At 46.5% G+C, this 19,983-nt stretch overlaps 1 protein-coding gene across 16 annotated transcripts in view; it reads right to left on the bottom strand.

Moving 5' to 3' along the window:
* The window catches only part of TMPRSS4 (transmembrane serine protease 4), a 48,428-nt gene that overhangs the window by 1,356 nt on the left and 27,089 nt on the right, over positions 1 to 19,983 (bottom strand). For 4 of the 16 annotated variants that reach the window (NM_019894.4, NM_001290094.2, NM_001173551.2 and 1 more), the window contains 9 exons: positions 19,330 to 19,459; positions 16,275 to 16,376; positions 15,254 to 15,294; positions 12,250 to 12,409; positions 10,715 to 10,881; positions 9,223 to 9,321; positions 8,870 to 9,012; positions 6,696 to 6,845; positions 2,260 to 6,248 (listed from right to left, as the gene is read on the bottom strand). In NM_019894.4, coding sequence (NP_063947.2) covers positions 6,237 to 6,248; positions 6,696 to 6,845; positions 8,870 to 9,012; positions 9,223 to 9,321; positions 10,715 to 10,881; positions 12,250 to 12,409; positions 15,254 to 15,294; positions 16,275 to 16,376; positions 19,330 to 19,459 — 1,004 coding nt within the window. In that variant the 3' untranslated portion in view covers positions 2,260 to 6,236. Of the gene's footprint in view, positions 1 to 2,259; positions 6,249 to 6,695; positions 6,846 to 8,869; positions 9,013 to 9,222; positions 9,322 to 10,084; positions 10,228 to 10,714; positions 10,882 to 12,249; positions 12,410 to 13,752; positions 14,099 to 15,253; positions 15,295 to 16,274; positions 16,377 to 19,329; positions 19,460 to 19,983 lie in introns of those variants that run through there. The other 12 variants (XM_005271613.5, XM_011542902.3, XM_005271614.4 and 9 more) reach the window with 6 other exon arrangements.

Genomic DNA, 19,983 nt, shown 5'->3' with positions numbered 1-19,983 from the left:
CTCCCAAAGTGCTGGGATTACAGGCATGAGCCACCATGCCTGGCCCCTCCTGAAGTATTTTTAATTACAACTTTGCATCATTTTACCCCAAATACTTCTGTATGCATCTCTAAAAGTTAAGAATATCTTTCTTACTTAACTATATCATTGTCACACATAATGAAATTAACAATTCCTTATTATCATCTAATACTGAGATCATATTCACATTTCCCAATTACCCCTTTGCCCAAATGCCTTTTGTTGCTAACTTGTTCAACTCAGGATCTGGTCAAAGCCCATGCCTTACATTTGATTGTTATGCCTCTTAAGACATAACAGTAATTGGCCGGGCACGGTGGCTCACCCCTGTAATCCCAGCACTTTGGGAGGCTGAGGCGGGCGGATCACGAGGTCAGGAGATCAAGACCATCCTGGCTAACAAGGTGAAACCCCGTCTCTACTAAAAACACACAAAAAATTAGCCAGGCGTAGTGGCGGGCGCCTGTAGTCCCAGCTACTTGGGAGGCTAAGGCAAGAGAATGGCATGAACCCAGGAGACGGAGCTCGCAGTGAGCCGAGATGGTGCCACTGCACTGCACTCCAGCCTGGGTGACAGTGCAAGACTCCGTCTCAAAAAAAAAGACATAACAGTAATTACATGACATTGATTTGTTGAAGAGATGGGAATGTCCTGTGGTGGAATGTCCCACCTTCTGGATTTGTCTTTTAGTGGTGTCATTTAATTTGTTCCTCTAATTCTTATGTTTTGTTCCTCTAATTCTTGTATTTCCTGTACACTGGAAATTAGATCTAAAAGATTTATGTTAAACATTTTTGGGAAGATGCCTTTAGATGATGCAACATGAAGGTGTACTTCATATTCACGTTGGGAGGAACATAGTATCTGCTGATTCCACTGTTAGTGGGTAAGGTGATGATAGCCTGATCCCTTCATTTTGAAGTTAGGTTTCTTATTGAGATTAGCAAGGGATCCGTGGGATGATATGAGGGTATTATGTGACTGTGCAGTTCTCTGTGGTCTTAGTCCATTCATGCTGCTCTAAATACCTTAGACTGGGTAATTTATAAACAACAGAAATTTATTGCTCACAGTTCTGGAGACTGGGAGGTCCAAGATCAAGGTTGCCAGCAGATTCGGTGTCTGGTGAGGGCTCATTCTCTGCTTCCATAGATAGTATCTTGTTGCTATGTCCTCACATGGCAGAAGGGGCAAAGAGGCTCCTTCAAGCCTCTTTTGTAAGGGGCACTAATCCCATTCATGAACAGGGAGCTCTCCTGACCTAATCAGCCCCCAAAGTCCCACCTCTTACTACCATCACCTTGGGGGTTAGGATTTAACATACAAATTTTGGGGGACACAAGCATTCAGACAATAGCATCCATTGATGATCCTTGCCTGAATCAATGATTTCATTAGAAATTGCCAATGATGGCTTCCTGTCATTCATCTATATTGATTAGCTATACTTTCCCTCACCACCTGGAGCCACCCTGTTACCTGGAAGTAGATTTCTATGGCAAAGCAGAATAGTGCTAACTTTTCCTCTTTAAATATTATTTCAGAGTAAGAGCCTGGTGTGATTGCCAACTCCAGTGGTGACAAAGGATGATTTTTTTAATTTTCTATTTTCTTCTCTTTGTTTGCAAGTTTTCACTTATTATAGCTTACTGGTGAATTGAAACTTTCGTGATTATGTAGTGACCCTCTTTATCCTAAAGTCAGTTTTGTCTTTTTGTCCTAAATCCTTATTTAGAAAAATATTATATAGCTACCCCAGCTTAAATTTGATTAAATGCTTGCTGTCTGTACCTTTCTCCACTTTTTCAGTTTTAATGGTTCTGTAACCTGGTGTTTTGTGTATGTCTGTTACAAATAACATATAGCTTGATCTTACATTTTTATCCAATTTGCCTATCTCTGTATATTATTTGGTGAGTTTAATATTTATTGCGATTATTAGTACTTTTTTCACTATCCTACTTTGTATATTCTATTTGTTCCATTTTTCTGTGCTTTTCCCTCCTTAGTGCTCTTCCTTTCCCTCCTTTCTCTTTTGTACTTGCTTGATGTATTTGTTTTTTATTCATCAATTGCTACTTTCAATTGTTTTGGAAGTGACACACTTTTATTTCCATTCTTTTGGTGATTACTCTTTTAACTAACCATCTAGAACATAGTACAAACATTTTATGTAACATAACATTAATATTTAACCCTCCTTTTGGACAATTTAAGAACTTCAGAATATTTTAACTCCAGCTATCCCCTTTAATTTACATGCTGCATGCTGTGGTTACTCCATATTTCAGTTAGGCCTTTAAAAATTAACCCACAATGGAAACTTCTTGGTCAAATTTTAACTAGCTAGTATTATATTTATATACAGGGTCTTTTTTCTTTACTGATGTATTTTTCTACTCATAGCCAACCAATAAATTCAATATCTGTTTCAAAAAAAATTAACCCACAAAATAAATATTATTGTTATTTTAATAATATGTAGACACGCCTGTAATCCCAGCACTTTGGGAGGCCGAGGCGGGGGGATCACTTGAGGTCGGGAGTTTGAGACCGGCCTGGCCAACACAGTGAAACCCCATCTCTACTAAAAATTCAAAAATTAGCCGGATATGGTGGCATGTGCATGTAATCCCAGCTACTCGGGAGGCTGAGGCAGAAGAATCACTTGAACCTGGGAGGTGGAGATAGCAGTGAGCCAAGATCCTGCCACTGCACTCCAGTCTGGGTGACAGGGCAAGACTCAGTCTCAAAATAAGAAGAAGAAGAAGAAGAAGAAGAAGAAGAAGTAGACAGAGTGTGTTTAGACTTACCTACATTTTCACAATTGCCTCACTATTGCTACTTGCTTCTTGGTTCTTCCTTTTAGGATCATTTTCCTTCTTCCTAAAGTAAATGCTTTATATATTCTTTTAGAGAAGGTTTGTTGATGGTAAAGTCTGTTTTTGTTTTCTTGAAAATGCCTTTATTCTTGAAAGATAGTTTTGTAGGGTTCACAATCCCTGATTGATTGTTATCTTTTGGCATGCTGGAGATATACTTCCACTGACTTCTAGCTCCTTTATTGCTGTGGGAAAGCCTGTTGTCAGTCTAATTGTGGTAGATTTGTGGTACTGTGGGTGGTCTGGGTTTTCTCTCTGCTGCTATAAGGAGTTTCTTTTTGTCTTTGGTGTTCTGCAGTTTCATTATAATGTACATAGGTGTGGATTTATTCTAATTTTTCCACCTTGGTTGTATGCGTGTACACTATGGTGGTGTATGTTCTGTGGATTCACACCTTTTATCAATTCTGGAACATTCTCAGCTCTTATCTCTTTGGTACTGTCTCTCTCTCATTGTCTTGATTCTCTCTTTCTGGGATTCTGGATATGTTAGAATTTACCATTCTAGGCTTCATTGCTCCTGGCCTTGTTTTCATATTTTTAATCTCCTTATCTCTCTCTGCTGTTAAGCCTAGTCACTTCTTCAATTTATCTTCCAGTTCATTTGTTCTCTCTTAATTGGTGTTTTAATTGTTATTTACCCCATCCACTTAGTTTTTTATTTTTATAATTATAGTTTTTATTTCTAAAAGCTGTATTCAGTTCTTTTTCAAATCTGCCTGTTATTTTTGCTTGATTATTAAGATATCCATTTTTAACAGAAAATAGCAAGTGTTAGGGGGGATATGGAGAAATAGTAACTCCTGCAAACTGTTGATGGGAATGTAAAATGGTGCAGTCTCTATGGAAAGCAATATATCAGTTCCTCAAAAAATTCAAAATAGAATTACCATATGATCCAGCAATTCCACTTCTGGGAATATACCCAAGAGAATTGAAAGCAGGGCCTCAAAGAGATACTTGTACACCCATGTTCACAGCAGCATAATTCACAATAGCCAAAAGATAGAAGTAACCTGAATGTTCGTATAAACAATAGAATATTATTTAGTCTAAAAAGGGAAGAAATTCTGACACATGCTACAACATGGGTGAAACTTGAAGACACAATGTGAAGTGAAATAAAACAAGTACAAAAAGACCAATACTGCATGACTTCACTTAAATGAGGTACCCAGAGTAATCCAGTTCACAGAGACTGAAAGCACAATGGTGGTTGCCAGAGATTGGGAGGAGGGGGAAATGGAGAGTTGTTTGATGGGTACTGAGTTTCTGTTCTGGAGATGGATGGTGGTGATGACTGCACAATAGTGTGAATGTACATAACACCACTGAACTATACACCTAAAAATGGTGAAGATGGCAACTTGTGTTATGTGCATTTGACCACAGTTAAACATGATTTTAAAATGTGGAACTAGTATTCATTTTTTATTCAAATATTTTATAAATTATCATATTGGAGGCCCTATAGTGTGGTAGTTTACAGCATGAACTCTGTATTCCAAGTGCTCACGTTCAACTTACAGTCTATAATCTCAGGCAAGGAGCTTAACCACTTTGTGCCTTAGTTTTTTTAATCCATAGAGTGAGGATAAGAATAATACCCATCTCACAGATTTCTGTGAGTATTAAATGAATCAGTACATGATGAAGCACTTACAATAGTGTCTGGCACATACAAATACTCTGCAAATATTGCTTATTATCATAAGTCTCTAATATTCTGACATCTGAAGCCTTTGGGGTTCTAAATTAGCTGTTTTTTATGCTGCCCACTTAAGGTGTTTTTTATTTTTCAACGTCTCTGATCTTTGATTGTGAGCTCATATTTGGAGGATCTTTGGGAATCCTGAGGCTCTAAATTTGGGAAATTTTCCTCCAGACCATCTGCAATTTGAGACCACATTTACTGCCATCAGTTATCCCTGCTTCATGTAGGAGCCCTGGTTCAGCTCCCTTGTCTTCAGTGTGTCCAGGTTTAGCTCCACTGCCAGCCTTCATATAGGTCTCGACCCAAGATTTTAGTGTATTGCTCCCAGATCATCACCTTAGTTTCCACTCACAGTTCTGATGGTTTTGTTTTATTTTGTTTTGTTTTCTGGGTTTCTATTTTCTTTGTTTTTGGCATTTGAGGAATTCTGTTGTTTCCTAAGAACCTAGTACAGTATGAACAAGTATATTTCATCTAGGATCTGACTTAACTATAGCAAGACAGTCCTCAGAAAACCCAAGCTTTCATACAGATGCCAAAAAAGTCCATGGGGTTTAATTCTTTGACCATTTTGAGTGCAGGGACTTATTCATGCTTACATCCTCACAACTCAGCTTGGGGACTGCCTCACACCTGGCAGCTGATCCTTTTTGTTTTTTAAATGTAAGAAGCCACACTGAGGGCTCTCCAGGCGGAAAAAGTTAGGACACAGGACCAGCATTTCTTTCCAGCCACTTGTGGATCCCTGATTGAATGTCACCCTTGACTGCCTAACTCATCTCTTTCCCAAGTCATAGGTTATCCCTGGCTCCTGGCTGATTATCACAGGCAGGGAGGGAGGGAAAGAGGCAAAGGGAGAAGGCCCTGTGTGGGACTCAAACTTGCTCACCCTGGTTTCTGTAATCTGCAGCTCACTCTTGCTGCCACTCAGCAGATCTGGTCTCCCTAACTCTTTTTTCCCCTGCCTCTACTTTGAGACTCAATTGCTTCCCCAGGACTTCTTTTCTCCCCAAGCCAAAGAATGAAAGTTCAATCATCCCAGCTCAGTTCTTATCAAGCATTCCAGCTAGCCTATGCCAGAGATGTTACACAGCTCTTTAATAATAGTGGCCATAGCTGTAATAACAATGACAACAGTAGGTAACGGTAGTCATACCAACAGTAGGGCAGTGCATTTTATATTACAACTGGTTTCTTGCTCTAGTAGGCTTGGGGATGGGTGAAGACGGACAGGGCTGGCGCAGACCCTTTCCTTCTCCTCTCCAGCCCACAGTGATCTGGGCTTTTACAAGACAGCCTGCTTCCATTCAGTAGTGTGGGAAAGTTCCTTCTTGGCTTAGCAATACCCCTGAGACCTTGTTCAGTGGGCTGTGTCTCTCCCTGGGATGCTGGGAGCACCAAGTGTGGCCGAGCTAGGGCTGCTGACTTCCTCTGGGCGCCTCTGGGCTGCGAGGGTCTCTTATAGGAATTGAGGCCCTTTGCTGCTCCAAGAAATGCTGAGGCTGTGGGCAGAGGGGTGTACCCAAGGGGACTCTTGCTCTGTGTCTGACTTTGGGGGATCCCCAGGTGGGCAGGGCAGGAAGGAAGCGGCTCCCAGCACTGCAAAGGGGCAGCAGCATTACAGCTCAGCCTAGAATAAGAGAGACCGATGAAGAGAAAGTCAGATTATCTGAAACTGGACAAAGTGGTGACATGTGTAACGTGAGTCTTCCTTTTCTGAAACACTTTGCTTCTCTCCCTACCCTGCAGAGGGCCAGGAGGTCTCATGAGCCTTTCCACTCTCTTCCTTATCAGAATCTTCTCTCTAGAAAGGATCTGATAGTCTCATTCTGTCAGAAAAGAGAAAGAAAGGCTTGGTGTGTTCTATTCCCTAAGGTATTTGCATTTATCAGAAATCTCTGACCTAAGGAATTTCAGCCTTAATAGTGCAATCTCAGGCTGTCCCTTGCTTGGAGGGAAAGTTATTTGGGATGTAAAGAGTTGTCAGAACCATTTAAATCAAACCTGAGGATGGATTGGCACCCCCCAGGTAGAGGACTGGAGGGAAGGCACAGTGGGTAGGGCAAAGGTACCTTACCTTCCAGACATTGTAGATCCAGTTGAGATAGGCTGAGACCTTGGTGTATACTCCTGGGGTGCTCGGGCCCCCGCAGCCATAGCCCCAACTAACGATGCCCACCACATGCCACTGGTCAGATTGGTACATCAGGGGCCCACCACTGTCACCCTGTGAGAGACCAGAACAGAGACTGCTGGGGAGGGCAGGTGAGGTGGGGGGGCTTCTCCTTCTCTGCTCCCTGAACTGGCCTATCTGTTCCCCTGCACTCCCTGCTGCTCTCCGATATTCCACCCTCACCCTCTTTGCTCATTAGCACCCTAGAATGGTCTTCTCTTCTGGGGCAGAAAGGCTTGTCTGTGGACAAGTAAGTTGCAAGCATGCCGTTAGCCTTCTCTCAGAGATTCACAACTCACATTAGCAAATTAAAGGCTCTGAGTGATGTCTTAAAAAAGCCTGGTTGTTGGCCAGGAGCGGTGGCTCACACCTGTAATCCCAGCACCTTGGGAGGCTGAGGCGGGTGAATCACTTGAGGTCAGGAGTTCAAGACCAGCCTGGCCAACATGGTGAAACCCGTCTCTACTACAAATACAAAAATTAGCTGGGCATAGTGGCAGGCACCTGTAATCCCAGCTACTCAGGAGGCTGAGGTGGAGAATCATTCGAACCCAGAGGCGGAGGCTGCAGTGAGCCGAGATCAAACCACTTCACTCTAGCCTGGGCAACAGAGTGAGACTCAGTCTCAAAAAAAAAAAAAAAAGCCTGGTTATCATTGTTTAACCTAGTCGTTCCAAAATTTGTGTAATCACTTATAGAGTGCCTATTTTGTGCCAGGTAGTGTTCTAAGCAATTGGGATCCAACTGATGAAAAAAAACAAAGATCCCTGCCCTCAGAAAGCTTAGGATCAAATGGGGTGAGAGACAGTGAACAAGCAAATAACAAAACAAGAAAATGCCAGATAGTGAAAAGTGCACTTATCTGGGAGTCCTTATCAGCTGTTTTAGCCCCTGGGGCTTCCTCCCTCTGAACCCAAAACTATAGCTTAAATGTCTGTTTAATGCCCCCCTTTCCCCCAACCACTGTGAGCTCCCTGAGGGGTCTCCAAAGACTACCATGTTCATGGCACACATGCGATGACTAAGAGATGCCTCTTAAATGAAGGAATTTAATGACTGGAAATGGAGGTGAGAGTAGGGTAGGGGTTTTAATGAAAATGGTTCAGGCCAAGCACGATGGCTCATGCCTGTAATCCCAGCATTTTGGAAAGCTGAGGTGGGAGAATCCCTTGAACCCAGGAGTTTGAGACCAGACTGGGCAACATAGTGACCCTGTCTCTGTTAAAAAACATAAAAGAAAAAATAAAAAAAGAAAATAGTTCAGAAGATCCTCTGGAAGTATGGGGGAGGAAGAAGGTCTACAGGGATTGCTAAGCAGTCCTGATGGCCAATGAGGCCGGGGTGAGGGCACACACAGATGTGCTTCCAGCATTCTGCAGGCGGTAATTCTTTCCTAGTGTAGTTCAGCAGCTTGGGGAGAGTCACAGAGAAAATAGACCTGGGATTCCTGACCTCAAGGGGCTAATCATTCTGTAGCTAGTGAGAAGGGTGGGTGGGGTGGATGAGTAATGTCATCTTTGTTGTTGTTGTTGTTTTCAGATGGAGTCTTGCTGGGTCACCCAGGCTGGAGTGCAGTGGCGCAATCTCAGCTTACTGCAACCTCTGCCTCCTGGGTTCAAGCAATTCTCCTGCCTCAGCCTCCCAAGTAGCTGGGATTACAGGCACGTGCCACCACGCCCAGCTAATTTTTGTATTCTTTTTAGTAGAGATGGGATTTCACCATGTTGGCCAGGCTGGTCTTGAATTCCTGACCTCAAATCACCTGCCCGCCTCAGCCTCCCAAAGTGCTGGGATTACAAGCGTGAGCCACCATGCCAGGCCAGTAACATCATCTTCGAATGTGAAAGAGACATTTGAAATCTCTCTGCTTGTCTGCATCCATCCATCCACCCACTCATCTATTGGTACACTTTTATCTGACTATCCTTTCCTTCCCTCCCTCTCTTCCTCCCATCATCACACATTGAGTGCCCATGATATGCAAGGCTTCCTGTAGGGCATGCAGCCTCTGGGTTTTCTCATCTCTCTAGGACCTAAACCCTATTCTTAGAACTCCCCATGATTCTTGGAGGCCCCACCTGGCAGGTGTCCACACCCCCTTCCGGGATGCCTGCACACATCATCTTCTCGGTGACTTCCCCCTGGTACGCATCGTCTGCATTGCACCGTGTGCTGTCAATGACCTGGACTGACGCCTGCAGCAGTATGTCAGACATCTTCCCTGGGAGGGTAAAAACACTCACATTCCCATCCTTGCCTTCTATCCCCCAGCCCTGGATTGCCAAACCACTTTGCTTTCTGCCTGGCGCCTTGGTGCTTGGTCCTCCAGGATGGGTTTCTCTGAAGGGTGGTCCTCCTTCCCATTACTTCTGGAAGCTGCTCCCTCATACAAGGGCATCTCCTGCCCTGTGGTCCTGCACCCAGGACTTACCTCCATTCTGCTTCGTAAAGCCCCATCCAATGATCCAGAGTGGGGTGGCTGGAGTGAGCTCCTCATCAAAGAAGGGCAGACAGATGGGCCTGACTGTGCCTGCCAGGAGCACAGAGGAAGAAGGAGATCTTTTATTCATCATAAGTGTTAATTTTCTGTAAATTATGATGCTTTATGATTATGGGGATCTTGCTGGTCTGGGAGAGACTGGGTTAGCTAATTCCTGCAGATAGTAAACAACTTGGCTTTGGGCACGCCTTTAATAGGCAAACCAGCCAACCCAAAGCCCATATCCCCAACCACTTCCTTTATCTGACTCTCAGACACCAAGCCAATATTTTCCCTGCCCTAAATCACCCCAGGGACAGATACTAGACAACCAGAGGCTGACATCTATAGCCTAGAGAATTGTCCACACTATCCAATCCTGAGCATGCTCAATCTTGCCTACCCTACCTTGGCCAGACCTGCCCATGGAAGCCACAGGTGGCTCTGGGCCATGCCTTCCCCTCACTCCTGCCTCCTGGTGGACCCAGCTGCTTCCCCGGGTGTCCCTGTGTTGGGGGGTGGGGTATGTCCCTTTCTCTCAGGAATTATAAATAATAAACTCTTCTTTCAAAGATAGCTGTGTCTGTATCTGTCACCTTGCCATACCTGATTAAAACAATTCCCAGGCACAAATCTTGAAACACACACCAGGGCTCAGGAGAGCCTGGCAGTTAAGCTCTCTGAAAGGGGTCACACCAGGGTCTCTAGAACACTTGTTCTATGGGATGCTAATAGAAGTAGCATGAAAAAAGGATTCTGTGGTCAAATAAATTTAAAAAATGTAGGTTAAACGCAATAAAACAGATTATTTTAAAAACTTCTCCTACCTTTAATAAACTAATGTGTTCCAAGAAGGGAGCTGTAGTATGAAAATGTTCCCCAAACTTATTTGACAATGGAATCCTCTCTTCTCCAAGGGGCCAGTGTCTTGTGGACCCCACAGTTGGGAATCCTGATCTAAATACATTTCAGTATAAGCACAAGGCATCCAACAGAGCTGTTCAAAGACTCTGTGGGCTGCCTCACAGGTAATGGGTTCCCTGCCCCTGGAGGAGAGCAAACAGGGGCACAATGACTCCTTGGCAGGGATACTGAGCAGGCTCTTGCGTGTTGGTCAGTGGTGGGGAATTAGCTCGATAATCTTTTTAAAAGGTCTCCTAAAACTCCAAGATTGGATGAAACTCCAGTTCTCACTCGAGGGGCTCCACATAGGGAAGACAGGCCTTGGAAGAATCTCTGGCAGGGAATGGAGTGGAGGTGTTAGCTGACAGCTTGAGGAGGCCTCATGGCATCAGTGATGTTAGGCTGACGTATTAGAGACAAATGGGCAAGCTGAGGACTTGAGAGGAGACATTATGTGCCAAGGGCGGTCAGTGAGCTAATAGCAGAGTGGGCGTGAAAACTGATGTAAGAGGCTTGAGTGGCCTTGGGCCCTGCTTCTCACCTGAGAAAGTGAGTGGGAACTGCAGCTTCATGAGGGCGATGTCATTGTCTTTGGGGTACATGGGGTTGAATTCAATGATGATGATCTTGGCCACAGCCAGGGATGGGAAGCTGCCCAGTTTGTCTGAGCCTGCCCGCACCTTCCAGTTGAACACATCGGTATGTTTCCTGGGGGTAGAGACAGCTGGGTTCAGGCCTGATCCAAGCCTGAGGAGACTTTGCCAAAGGCTGGGTCCCCAGGGCCCTAGGGATCGGGGTGCTGGATGTCACTGCCTTGGGAGGAAAGATGATGGTGAGGCAGGGATGGTGGAGAAGGGGCAGTCTTCTGGCACTTACAAGAAGTCAAATTCGAAAAAGGGATTTGACCCTTTTTCCTCAGTGAAACCTGCCCAACGAAACCTCAAGGAGGGCTGGGGAAGGGGCTCCTCTAATGCCTGAGTTCTGAGGTCCTGGCGCTCTCTCCTCCAACCTTTCTCACTGTGTTACTCATGCTGTCAGTTACATTACGTGCTTTCTTTTTCCCAATGCCAGGCACAGCTTAGTGTGCAGAGATGTTTTTCCAGGAAAGAATTTATAGCTCTCACCAGAATCTCAAAAAAAAAAAAAAAAAAAGTGGTTAAAAAACGCTGGCCTAGATCATGAGTGCCTTGAAGACAGCGGTGGGGTCTAATGAACTTGGGCGCATCATCTGGTGTTTGGTACCTGGTAGGTGCTCATTAGATATTGAATGAATGAATAAATAAAAGCCGGATGCCCTGGCTCATGCCTGTAATCCCAGCAGTTTGGGAGGCTGAGGTGGGCAGATCACTTGAGGTCAGGAGTTAGAGATCAGCCTGGCCAACATGGTGAAACCCTGTCTCTACCAAAAATACAAAAATTAGCCGGGCATGGTGGCCCATGCCTATAGTCCCAGCTACTTGGGAAGCTGAGGCAGGAGAATTGCTTGAACTCAGGAGGCGGAGGTTGCAGTGAGCCAAGATCATGCTGCTGCGCTCCAGCCTAAGCAACAGAGCAAGACTCTGTCTCAAAAAAAAAAAAAAAAAAAAAAAAAAAAAAAGTGAAGGGGGTCTGGGAGTAGCCCTTCCCTGAGGTAAGGCCAGGCTTCTCTGTGGACTGAAAGGAACCTATGCTCTTTAATTTTTTTAAAGTTTCCAGACATAATGAGGACGTGGCTATGACTCTAGACCCTGGAACAACTTCCTGGAAACAAGCAAAAAGAGAGTGAGTTCTTGGAAGTTGAGGCAGGTGGGAAGAGCTTTTGTAGCTTGAACGATATGGGGGTGGGGTGAGGACTCTGGGTATCTGCTGGTGTCCCACCAGGAAGAGGCCATGCTTGGTGACCAGCACCCTCTGCTCAGACACCCAAAAGCCTAACAAAGGGCATCATGGCCATTGTCTCATTGGGGCCACCACAACCTGGAAAACGTCTCTAGTGGGAGAGTGAAGAGAAGGACGGTGCCAGGAGACAGGACCCCAAGCTCTCTGGTCCCTGACTGGCCTTGGTCCCCAGAGACCTCCTTACAGCTGGGGTCTTACCTGAAGCAGTGGGCTGCCGTGAGGACCCAGTGGGGGTCCAGGATGCTCCCTCCACAGACGTGCTGTTTGTCGTACTGGATGCTGACCTGCCAAGGCCAAGAATCCACAGAGGCCTCCTCCACACCCACCACACGGGGGGTCTTCAGGCTCTTCCCACAGGCTGGACACAGGCAGAGGCAGGGAGGAGGCAGGAAGTCAGGCTGTTGGGGATGAGGCTGCCTCCACTCAGCACCCAAAATCTGCTCTAAGCAGGGCCCTTATGGCTGGGGCCAGAGTGGAGAGAGGACCAGCCCAATATGAGATATTCATGGGAGGTATTGAGTGTCCCAGACCATAGGCTTTCCTCAAACCTCCCTCTCCTTTTTCTTTCTTTCTTTCTTTTTTTTTTATTTTGGTTTAAGATGTGTTTAGGAGTTCAGACTATGAACATGGGTGTGTCCGTTGTGCTGGGAATCTGTGACCTTCACAAGTGATGCAGAATTACGAAAGCCCTGCCCAGGTGGCGTGTCCCCAGCCACTCCCACTGAGTAACAGTAAACAGACACCCACAAGCTATTTTGTGACTCGGAAGTGGACTGTCTCATCCAAAACTCCCCCTTCTCCAAGTCTGTTTCCCCGGCCAGGGGAGTCTCTCAATCTGACATCCTGTCTTCCTACTGACTGACCTGGCTTTCACACCCTCACCACCCCCGGAACTCCTGTAAAGCCCTCAGGTCCCCCCTCTCCACCCATGCTCTGCCTTTCCAATTCTTCTGGCAGCCACCACCACGGTTGTGGAGCCATGCACAGATGGTAGAAGGGCCATTCTAAGGGGAAGGGCTGGGCTTTTCAAATACCACCTGATTTCAAACACTGCTTTCTTCATGCCACCTTGCCCGCTCCTGCAAAGCCCTTCGGGATCTCCCTTGAGGGCAAAGTAGAGTTTCCACTCCTCCTAGCAGCCTCCTGCTGTTTCATATAAAGTCTCTGTCTAGCCAAATTGATCTGCTTGTAGTTCTCTAAAAAGTAATTCTGTTTTTGATCCAAAAAGATGCCCTTCCCACTGGTTCGTGGCCTGTTAGGAACCTGGCTGTACATTAGGAAGTGAGTGGCAGGGACAAGCGAGCATGACCACCTGAGCTTCACCTCCTGTCAGATCAGAGGTGGCGTTAGATTCTTGTAGGAGCACAACCTTATTGTGAACTGCACATGTGAGGGATCTATGCTGTACGTTCCTTATGAGACTTTAGGCTGGGTGAGGCAGCTCATGCCTGTAATCCCAGCACTTTGGGAGGCTCAGGCGGGCAGATCACCTGAGGTCAGGAGTTCGAGACTAGCCTGGCCAACATGGTGAAACGCCGTCTCTACTAAAAATACAAAAATTAGCCGGGCATGGTGGCACATGCCTATAGTCCCAGCTGGGCTGGTGACGGGTGCCTGTAATCCCAGCTATTTAGGGGGCTGAGGCAGGAGAATCGCTTGAATCCAGGAGGCGGAGGTTGCAGTGAGCCGAGATCGCAACACTTTACTCCAGGCTGAGTGACAAGAGCCAGACTTGGTCTCAAAAAAAAAAAAAAGAGAGAATCTAATGCTCTCTATCCCCCTCTTGGTTTGCGGAAAAATTGTCTTCCATGCAACCAGTCTCTTGTGCCAAAAAGGTTGGGGACCACTGAACTCTAAATCATTCATTAATCTAACCAACTTGTGTCAAGTGCTCTCTGTCCTGGGGCAGTGCTGGGTGCTGGGAGAGAGTGGTGGGCAAGACAGACAGACATGGGCTTTTCCTCCTTGAGCCTACAGATGCATTTTTCAGTGTTTAGCCTGGGCCCCCAGTCCCTGGGAATCTCCCTTTCTCTGGAATTCCCACAGGCTGTCCTGGGTATTGGCCACCCTTTCAGTGTTGTTGAGCTTAGGTCTTGGCTTATTGGTAAAACAGAGGCCCCTCAAGGGAGGACCTGTCACTTATGCTGCTTCAAGCCTTCAGGGCTACTCAGTGCAGAACCTCAGATGGTGTGACCATTCATTCATTCATTCATTGACCAGCCACCACGTGTCAGATCCCACGCACTAGGTATTGTGGGGCCGGGGTAGGGGGCATACGATAATGAATGAAACTCTCAACATCCTGCAGGAAAGCATATACACTCCTAAATTGCAGAGGCAGCGTTGTGACCTTCTTCCCTTAGGCGTTCTAATTTCTGGCTATGCTTCCAGGCCAGTCTCAGTTCTCTATGAAGCTTGTAGGATGAGCTGAGCCACATTGCTTGTTTTCTTTTCTGATCTCCTCTGTTAGAGCTAGAAGGGTCCCTAAAGATCCTTGATGGGCAGTTGGACTAAACAACTTCTTGGGAAAATGAACTTCAGGGAGGTCAGGTGAATGACTCGAGGCCACACTGGAAATGAACAGGACTGGTGCCCAGGTCTTCTGACCCCCGGCCAGCTCTCTCTGCAGCATGTCAACTGTGACTGCTACTCAGTTTGGCATTTTCCACATGTTGTCTTGCATCTCTCTCTTACTTAGTCATCAGCTACCAAGGATAGTGGCCAATTATTTCACTCATCTGGTACTTTCTACTTCTAGCCAGCAACTGACAGAGTGAGACATATTCTAACTGTTCAATGAATAGTTGCTCAAATAATGAATGTGGGTAATCTGATCTTGGATACCTGAGCTGATTGTGACAAAGAAGGCTATGTGGGCCCGGACCAGGGATGGGAGGCAGTGGAGGCCCCGTCCTGCCCTTTTCGGTCTTCCTAACACTCTCTCCCAGGTCTCCACTTAGGTCATGGAGCCATGCACAGATGGTAGAAGGGGGAAACTGGGGCTTGGAAAGACCCAGAAAAAGAATGTGACCTGCCCAAGGCCACCAACAACTCGAGGGGGCATTGACCGACAAGCCCAAGGGCTGTAGACCAAGGCAGAATGAAACTTGGAGTCCCAGAAATTTAGGAGTGAAGATGAAGGTCTTCCTCCCTGCTCATTGCTGGCCCAGGCCCCAAACCCTCAGAGATTGGGGGTACTCACCAAGACAGTGCAGGGAGACCAGGGAGCCTGAGAGACAGGGCCTGGAAGACAGACACAGCGCCCTGTGATTTAAGCTTCTTCCTCAGCTGGGAGGCAGGGACTCAGGCCTCCCGAAGCTGTTAATTCAAGTCCCCTCCCAATACCTCGGGAATGTGGAAGCTGCACAGTGGGGAACATTTGGAGACTGCATTGACATCCATTGCATTTCCTGCATTGACACTTCCGTTTGATTGGATTCAACACCCCCACTGCTGAGTACCTACTGTGTGCTGGGCCCTGCCTGCTTCAAAGCCCAGCCTGGGCTCCTGGGACCCAAGAGGGAAGAGGACAGAGCCCGGAACAGAGTCTGTGACACTGTGGGCTTTCCAAATGGAAGAATGGGATTTTGATAGAATTTTAGGTAAAGGATCATTCTGCTACCAGCCCTGTCCTTTTCAAGATTTATTTTCGGTGAATAAGCGGCCCTCAGCAACGTCCCTGAATGCTAGGAAGCCAGCCTCCTCTCTGAGCCACTTTGCCACAGTGTGACAGATTTCATCTGGATGCTCTGCTCTAACACAGGGTGGCGAGGCTCAGGAACAGGCCACCCACAAGGGCCATGGAGCCTCTTCCCTGGAGCATCAAGAAGGTGGGGAGCTCTGGCTGGGTAAGTGGTAGGGAAGGACAAAGTGACTTTGGAATCTTGCCTATTGGGCAATTTATTAGAAAACCTACAGCAGTAGCAAAAACTATTTACTATCCAGATTGATGGAAAGGTCACATTATCCATCCCTCTGGCTCTGAGTAGGACAACACACTTTGTCCAGCTGTCCATTGTATTAAAAACAAGTCAACACAGAAAACCTCTCCAAAATGTGAGTCTATAGCTCTTGGCATTGAATGATCCATCTGGCTAGGAGTTCTTCCTGATGTCTGCTTACATTCCCCTGGCTGCTTGGGGTTCCAGGTGAGCTGGTTGCAACCTGAAGAGCAGCGTCCATGTGGGGGCCTTCTGTAGGCCAGAAGGTGTCCCCTCACTTACCCACTTGAGTTCCGCATGCGAAGCTCCTGGCTGTTTTCTGTGATTTCAACAACATCCAGATCCTGGTCTGGGCCAATCTCCACAGCTCTGAAAGTGGGTTTGCTGCTCACATCAAGAGGGAGAGAGAGTTGTGAGCTGGGGCAGGGGGTTAGAACAAGATGGTAGAGTTGGCCCCCACTTTCAGGAGAAAGAGTGGCAGAGAATGCTTGGTGGGGAGTGGCCAGGGAGTGGAGATGGTCTTAGTCAGTGAAGATGGGGCCTGCTTTGCTATACAATAAAGAACCGACCCTTGGCATCCCAGGACTCAACCCTCAGTGCATTGCTGATGTAACTTGCTTTCTTGGGTGGGGAATCCAAATCCAGAACCCAGAGCCCTGGAGAAATGTTAGGGGTCTCCTTTCCATATTCCCAGCTCTGTCCCTATTTCAAATATCCCAGCAATGTCTTCTGGTTCACAGCAGGGAAACAAAGAGGCATAGGGGCTCAGGTTAGCTCCCTTCTCACCTGGGAGGGAGTTGGAATGTGGATATTTCGTTCTCCAAACAAAGCATCTGGTCTGACTTTGATAGCGGGGGTATGTTTTTGGCCCCCTTAGAGATATTTAATAGAACAGGACTAGATCTGTCTTCATATGAATCCAGACAAACGTTTCTCTCAACTGGACCACTCTCCCTCTTTCTCCCTGCTAATCCATGCTTGCTACTTTCAAACCTTGGGTTGAAGTTTTTCCTCCTCCAGGAAGCCTTCCTTGATTAATTCCATCTCTCTGATTGTTCCTTTACTGAATCTGCCTCTTCTAAATCTTTTCCTTCCATCCCTAACTATGCTAGTAATGTTAGTAGAAGCTCTCCATGGAGGGCTGAGTCATTGGCAATACTGGTGGATTGGCACATTCTCAGGCAGGAATGCTGGCACTTCCTGGAAGGACCCAAGTCTCAGACCTGGGAGGACTAGAGTGCATTTTAAGAGTCCTCATGATCTAGGTTCTGTCCCTGGCTCTGGCACTAGTTTGATGTGTGGCCTTGGGCAGGTCATATTCTTTTTCTGGGTCTCTCCAAGCCTCAGTTTCCCCCTCTATAAAAAGATGCACGGGGCTGGGTGCAGTGGCTCACGCCTGTAATCCCAGCACTTTGGGAGGCCGAGGTGGGTGGATCACCTGAGGTCAGGAGTTCAAGACCAGCCTGGCCAACATGGTGAAACTCGGTCTCTACAAAAATATAAAAATTAGCTGGGCATGATGGTGCGTGCCTGTAATCCCAGCTACTTGGGAGGCTGAGGCGAAAGAATCACTTGAACCTGGGAGGTGGAGGTTGCAGTAAGCAGAGATGGTGCCATTGCACTCCAGCCTGGGTGACAGAGTGAGACTCTGTCAAAAAAAAAAAAAAAAGATGCGTGGACTAGATGATCCCTAGGGTCTCCCACATCTTGAAATGCCTATGGTTCTAGGACAAGAAGGGCCTCCGATCTAGAGAGAGGAAAGAAAGTAGAGAAGTCTGAGACCTAGAAGGACGGAATATGGTGGAAATGGACATTCCCAGGAAAGTTAACTTCTGTTCACCAATTCCATCCCAATGAATGATTCTGATGAACTTTGATTTTGTGAAGCACAAGACTCAGGTGGTTTGGTGCCTTACTGAGCTCCAAAAGGACAGAAATTCCAGGAGCCTATCATCTTAAGAACCCCTGGAGACACCCAGGTTTCATAATCAAGGCTCAGCCTGCTGTGCCAGGAACGGCTGATGCAGCAGTTGACTGGACTACAGTGGGGAGGCAGGGCTGGCTGCAGCGAGGCTGGGCTCCGTGGCTGCAGGAAGAGGGGAGAATAGCAGGTGCTGGGCATGAGTTCCTCACTCTCCTTGAAATGAAGGTGGTGGGGTGTGCTTTCTAGAGGGTAATGGAAGTTGCCCCCTATGGAAAGTAGAGAGCAGCAGAAGCCCGTTGAGCAGAGAAGAGAAAGGCAAATAATTCTGATTGATTTGTAATGGCTGCCTGGAGCATTTACTGAAAAGGACTTTGAGGCTGTATTAGGGATCCATGGGAGAGAGTTCTGTGATTGGTTGGTGATGTCTGCCTAGTAGAGTTTTTGTTTGTTTGTTTGTTTGGCCTAGTCTCTGGGTCCAGTCTGTTAGAATCCTGAAGAAATCTGAGGCCTGCCAGAGATAGGCTATCTCAATCTGCAACTGAATGTATGGGTTCTTTTCCATCCTCTCCAGCTAAACTCTCTGAGTGATCAACCATCTCATTAGCCCCTTCCCTTAGAGATGATGTCCTACATGAGAATAAAGAATTACTCAGTCTAGAAACAGAAACAATGTGGGAACTCCTAATGCGCAAGAATTAGGGGTCTTGGGCTCAAATTCTAGCCCTCTACCTCCCAGCTAGTACCCTAGCAAGTTACTTACTTTGTTTGAGCCTATTTATGAAATAGATATAATATATATCTATATATAAGATATAATAACTATCTTTTTGGTTTTCTGCCAAAATCAAGTGAATATAAATATATAGAATGCAAATTACTCTTACTATCATCTTACACCTTTTCATCCACTCCAGATTTGGAACTGCTTTTGAAATTTGCAGAGAGAGCTGGGATTGCTGAAGATGGGGCCCCACTGAAACTAGGCTCACTTAAGCTAAATCTTAACTAACGAAACTTTGAATAAGTTAACTTAGCTTTTGTATTACTGGGCAGGAACAGTTTCTTGCAAAGCCAGCACAAAGGAGTGAAGGTTGAGGAGTAAAGGAAAGGAGAGGACTGCATAGACGCTAGAAGTGTGTGTGTGTGTGTTGGAGGGCAGCACACATTCTCTCACTGGCATTGCAAAACTATCCTATGAGGTTGGCATTAGTTCCCCCAATTAACTCCTGAGGAACCTGAGGCTTAGGAAATTTAACTTCATGTTGCTTATAAGTGAAATGCTGGGATTCAAAAGCCATTCTGCCTGGCTCCAATGCCCGTAATTTTTAGGAAAGAGAGAAGAAGGGAGGAAGGAAAGGAGGAAGAGGAGGAAGGAGGAAGGAGGGAAAAAGGAGAGAGGCCCAGGTTGGTTACCTGCTGTAGCCCATCTGCCTACAGGCTGTCTCAGCGAGAGCTTCTGTGAAGTTGTCGAAACAGGCAGAGAACCAGTTCCCTGTGGCCGAGTCCAGCACCTGCAGTGTGGATCGGTCCTTGGAGAGGCGGACTGGGAGGAAAGGAACCTGAGTTAGATGGAACGGGGGGCCCAACTGGCCCATCCCCCTCAGAACTCATCATGAGACCAGCCCAAGCTCCCCCAACCTAGAACTGGGGGTGCCACAGAGCCCCAACACTTTCAATGTCAAGGGAATTTCTTCCATTTGGCTTTGTCTATTTGGGCCCCATTTTGACAGTAGCTAGTGTGACCAGAAGTCCCAGGGTAGGTCTCCATTTTGACCTGTTGCCCTGACCCAATGGTTAATAGTGCCCCCTTTTGCTCTTACAGGTATCAGTTTTGATGATCAATTATGTGGTCACTCTACCCAGCGACCATATACAGCTTGTTTAAATTGTATGGACCACATACCCATCCATGGTCCACACAACTTGCCCAGCCTGGGGAAATGTCTGAGAGAGGGACCTAAGTCCTTCTCCAAGTAAGGTCAGAGGGGAAGGTTGAGTGAGAAGTCCTACTGGCAGTAGGATGACAGGTGCCTGTGGGCATTTGACTTCTGATAAAGAAAGAGCAAA

The sequence above is a fragment of the Homo sapiens genome, chromosome 11 (genome assembly GCF_000001405.40).
Source record: "Homo sapiens chromosome 11, GRCh38.p14 Primary Assembly".
NCBI classification, from domain to species: domain Eukaryota; kingdom Metazoa; phylum Chordata; class Mammalia; order Primates; family Hominidae; genus Homo; species Homo sapiens.
The sequence above is the reverse complement of the archived record's forward strand: the minus strand, read 5'-3'. Positions and strand labels throughout refer to the sequence as shown.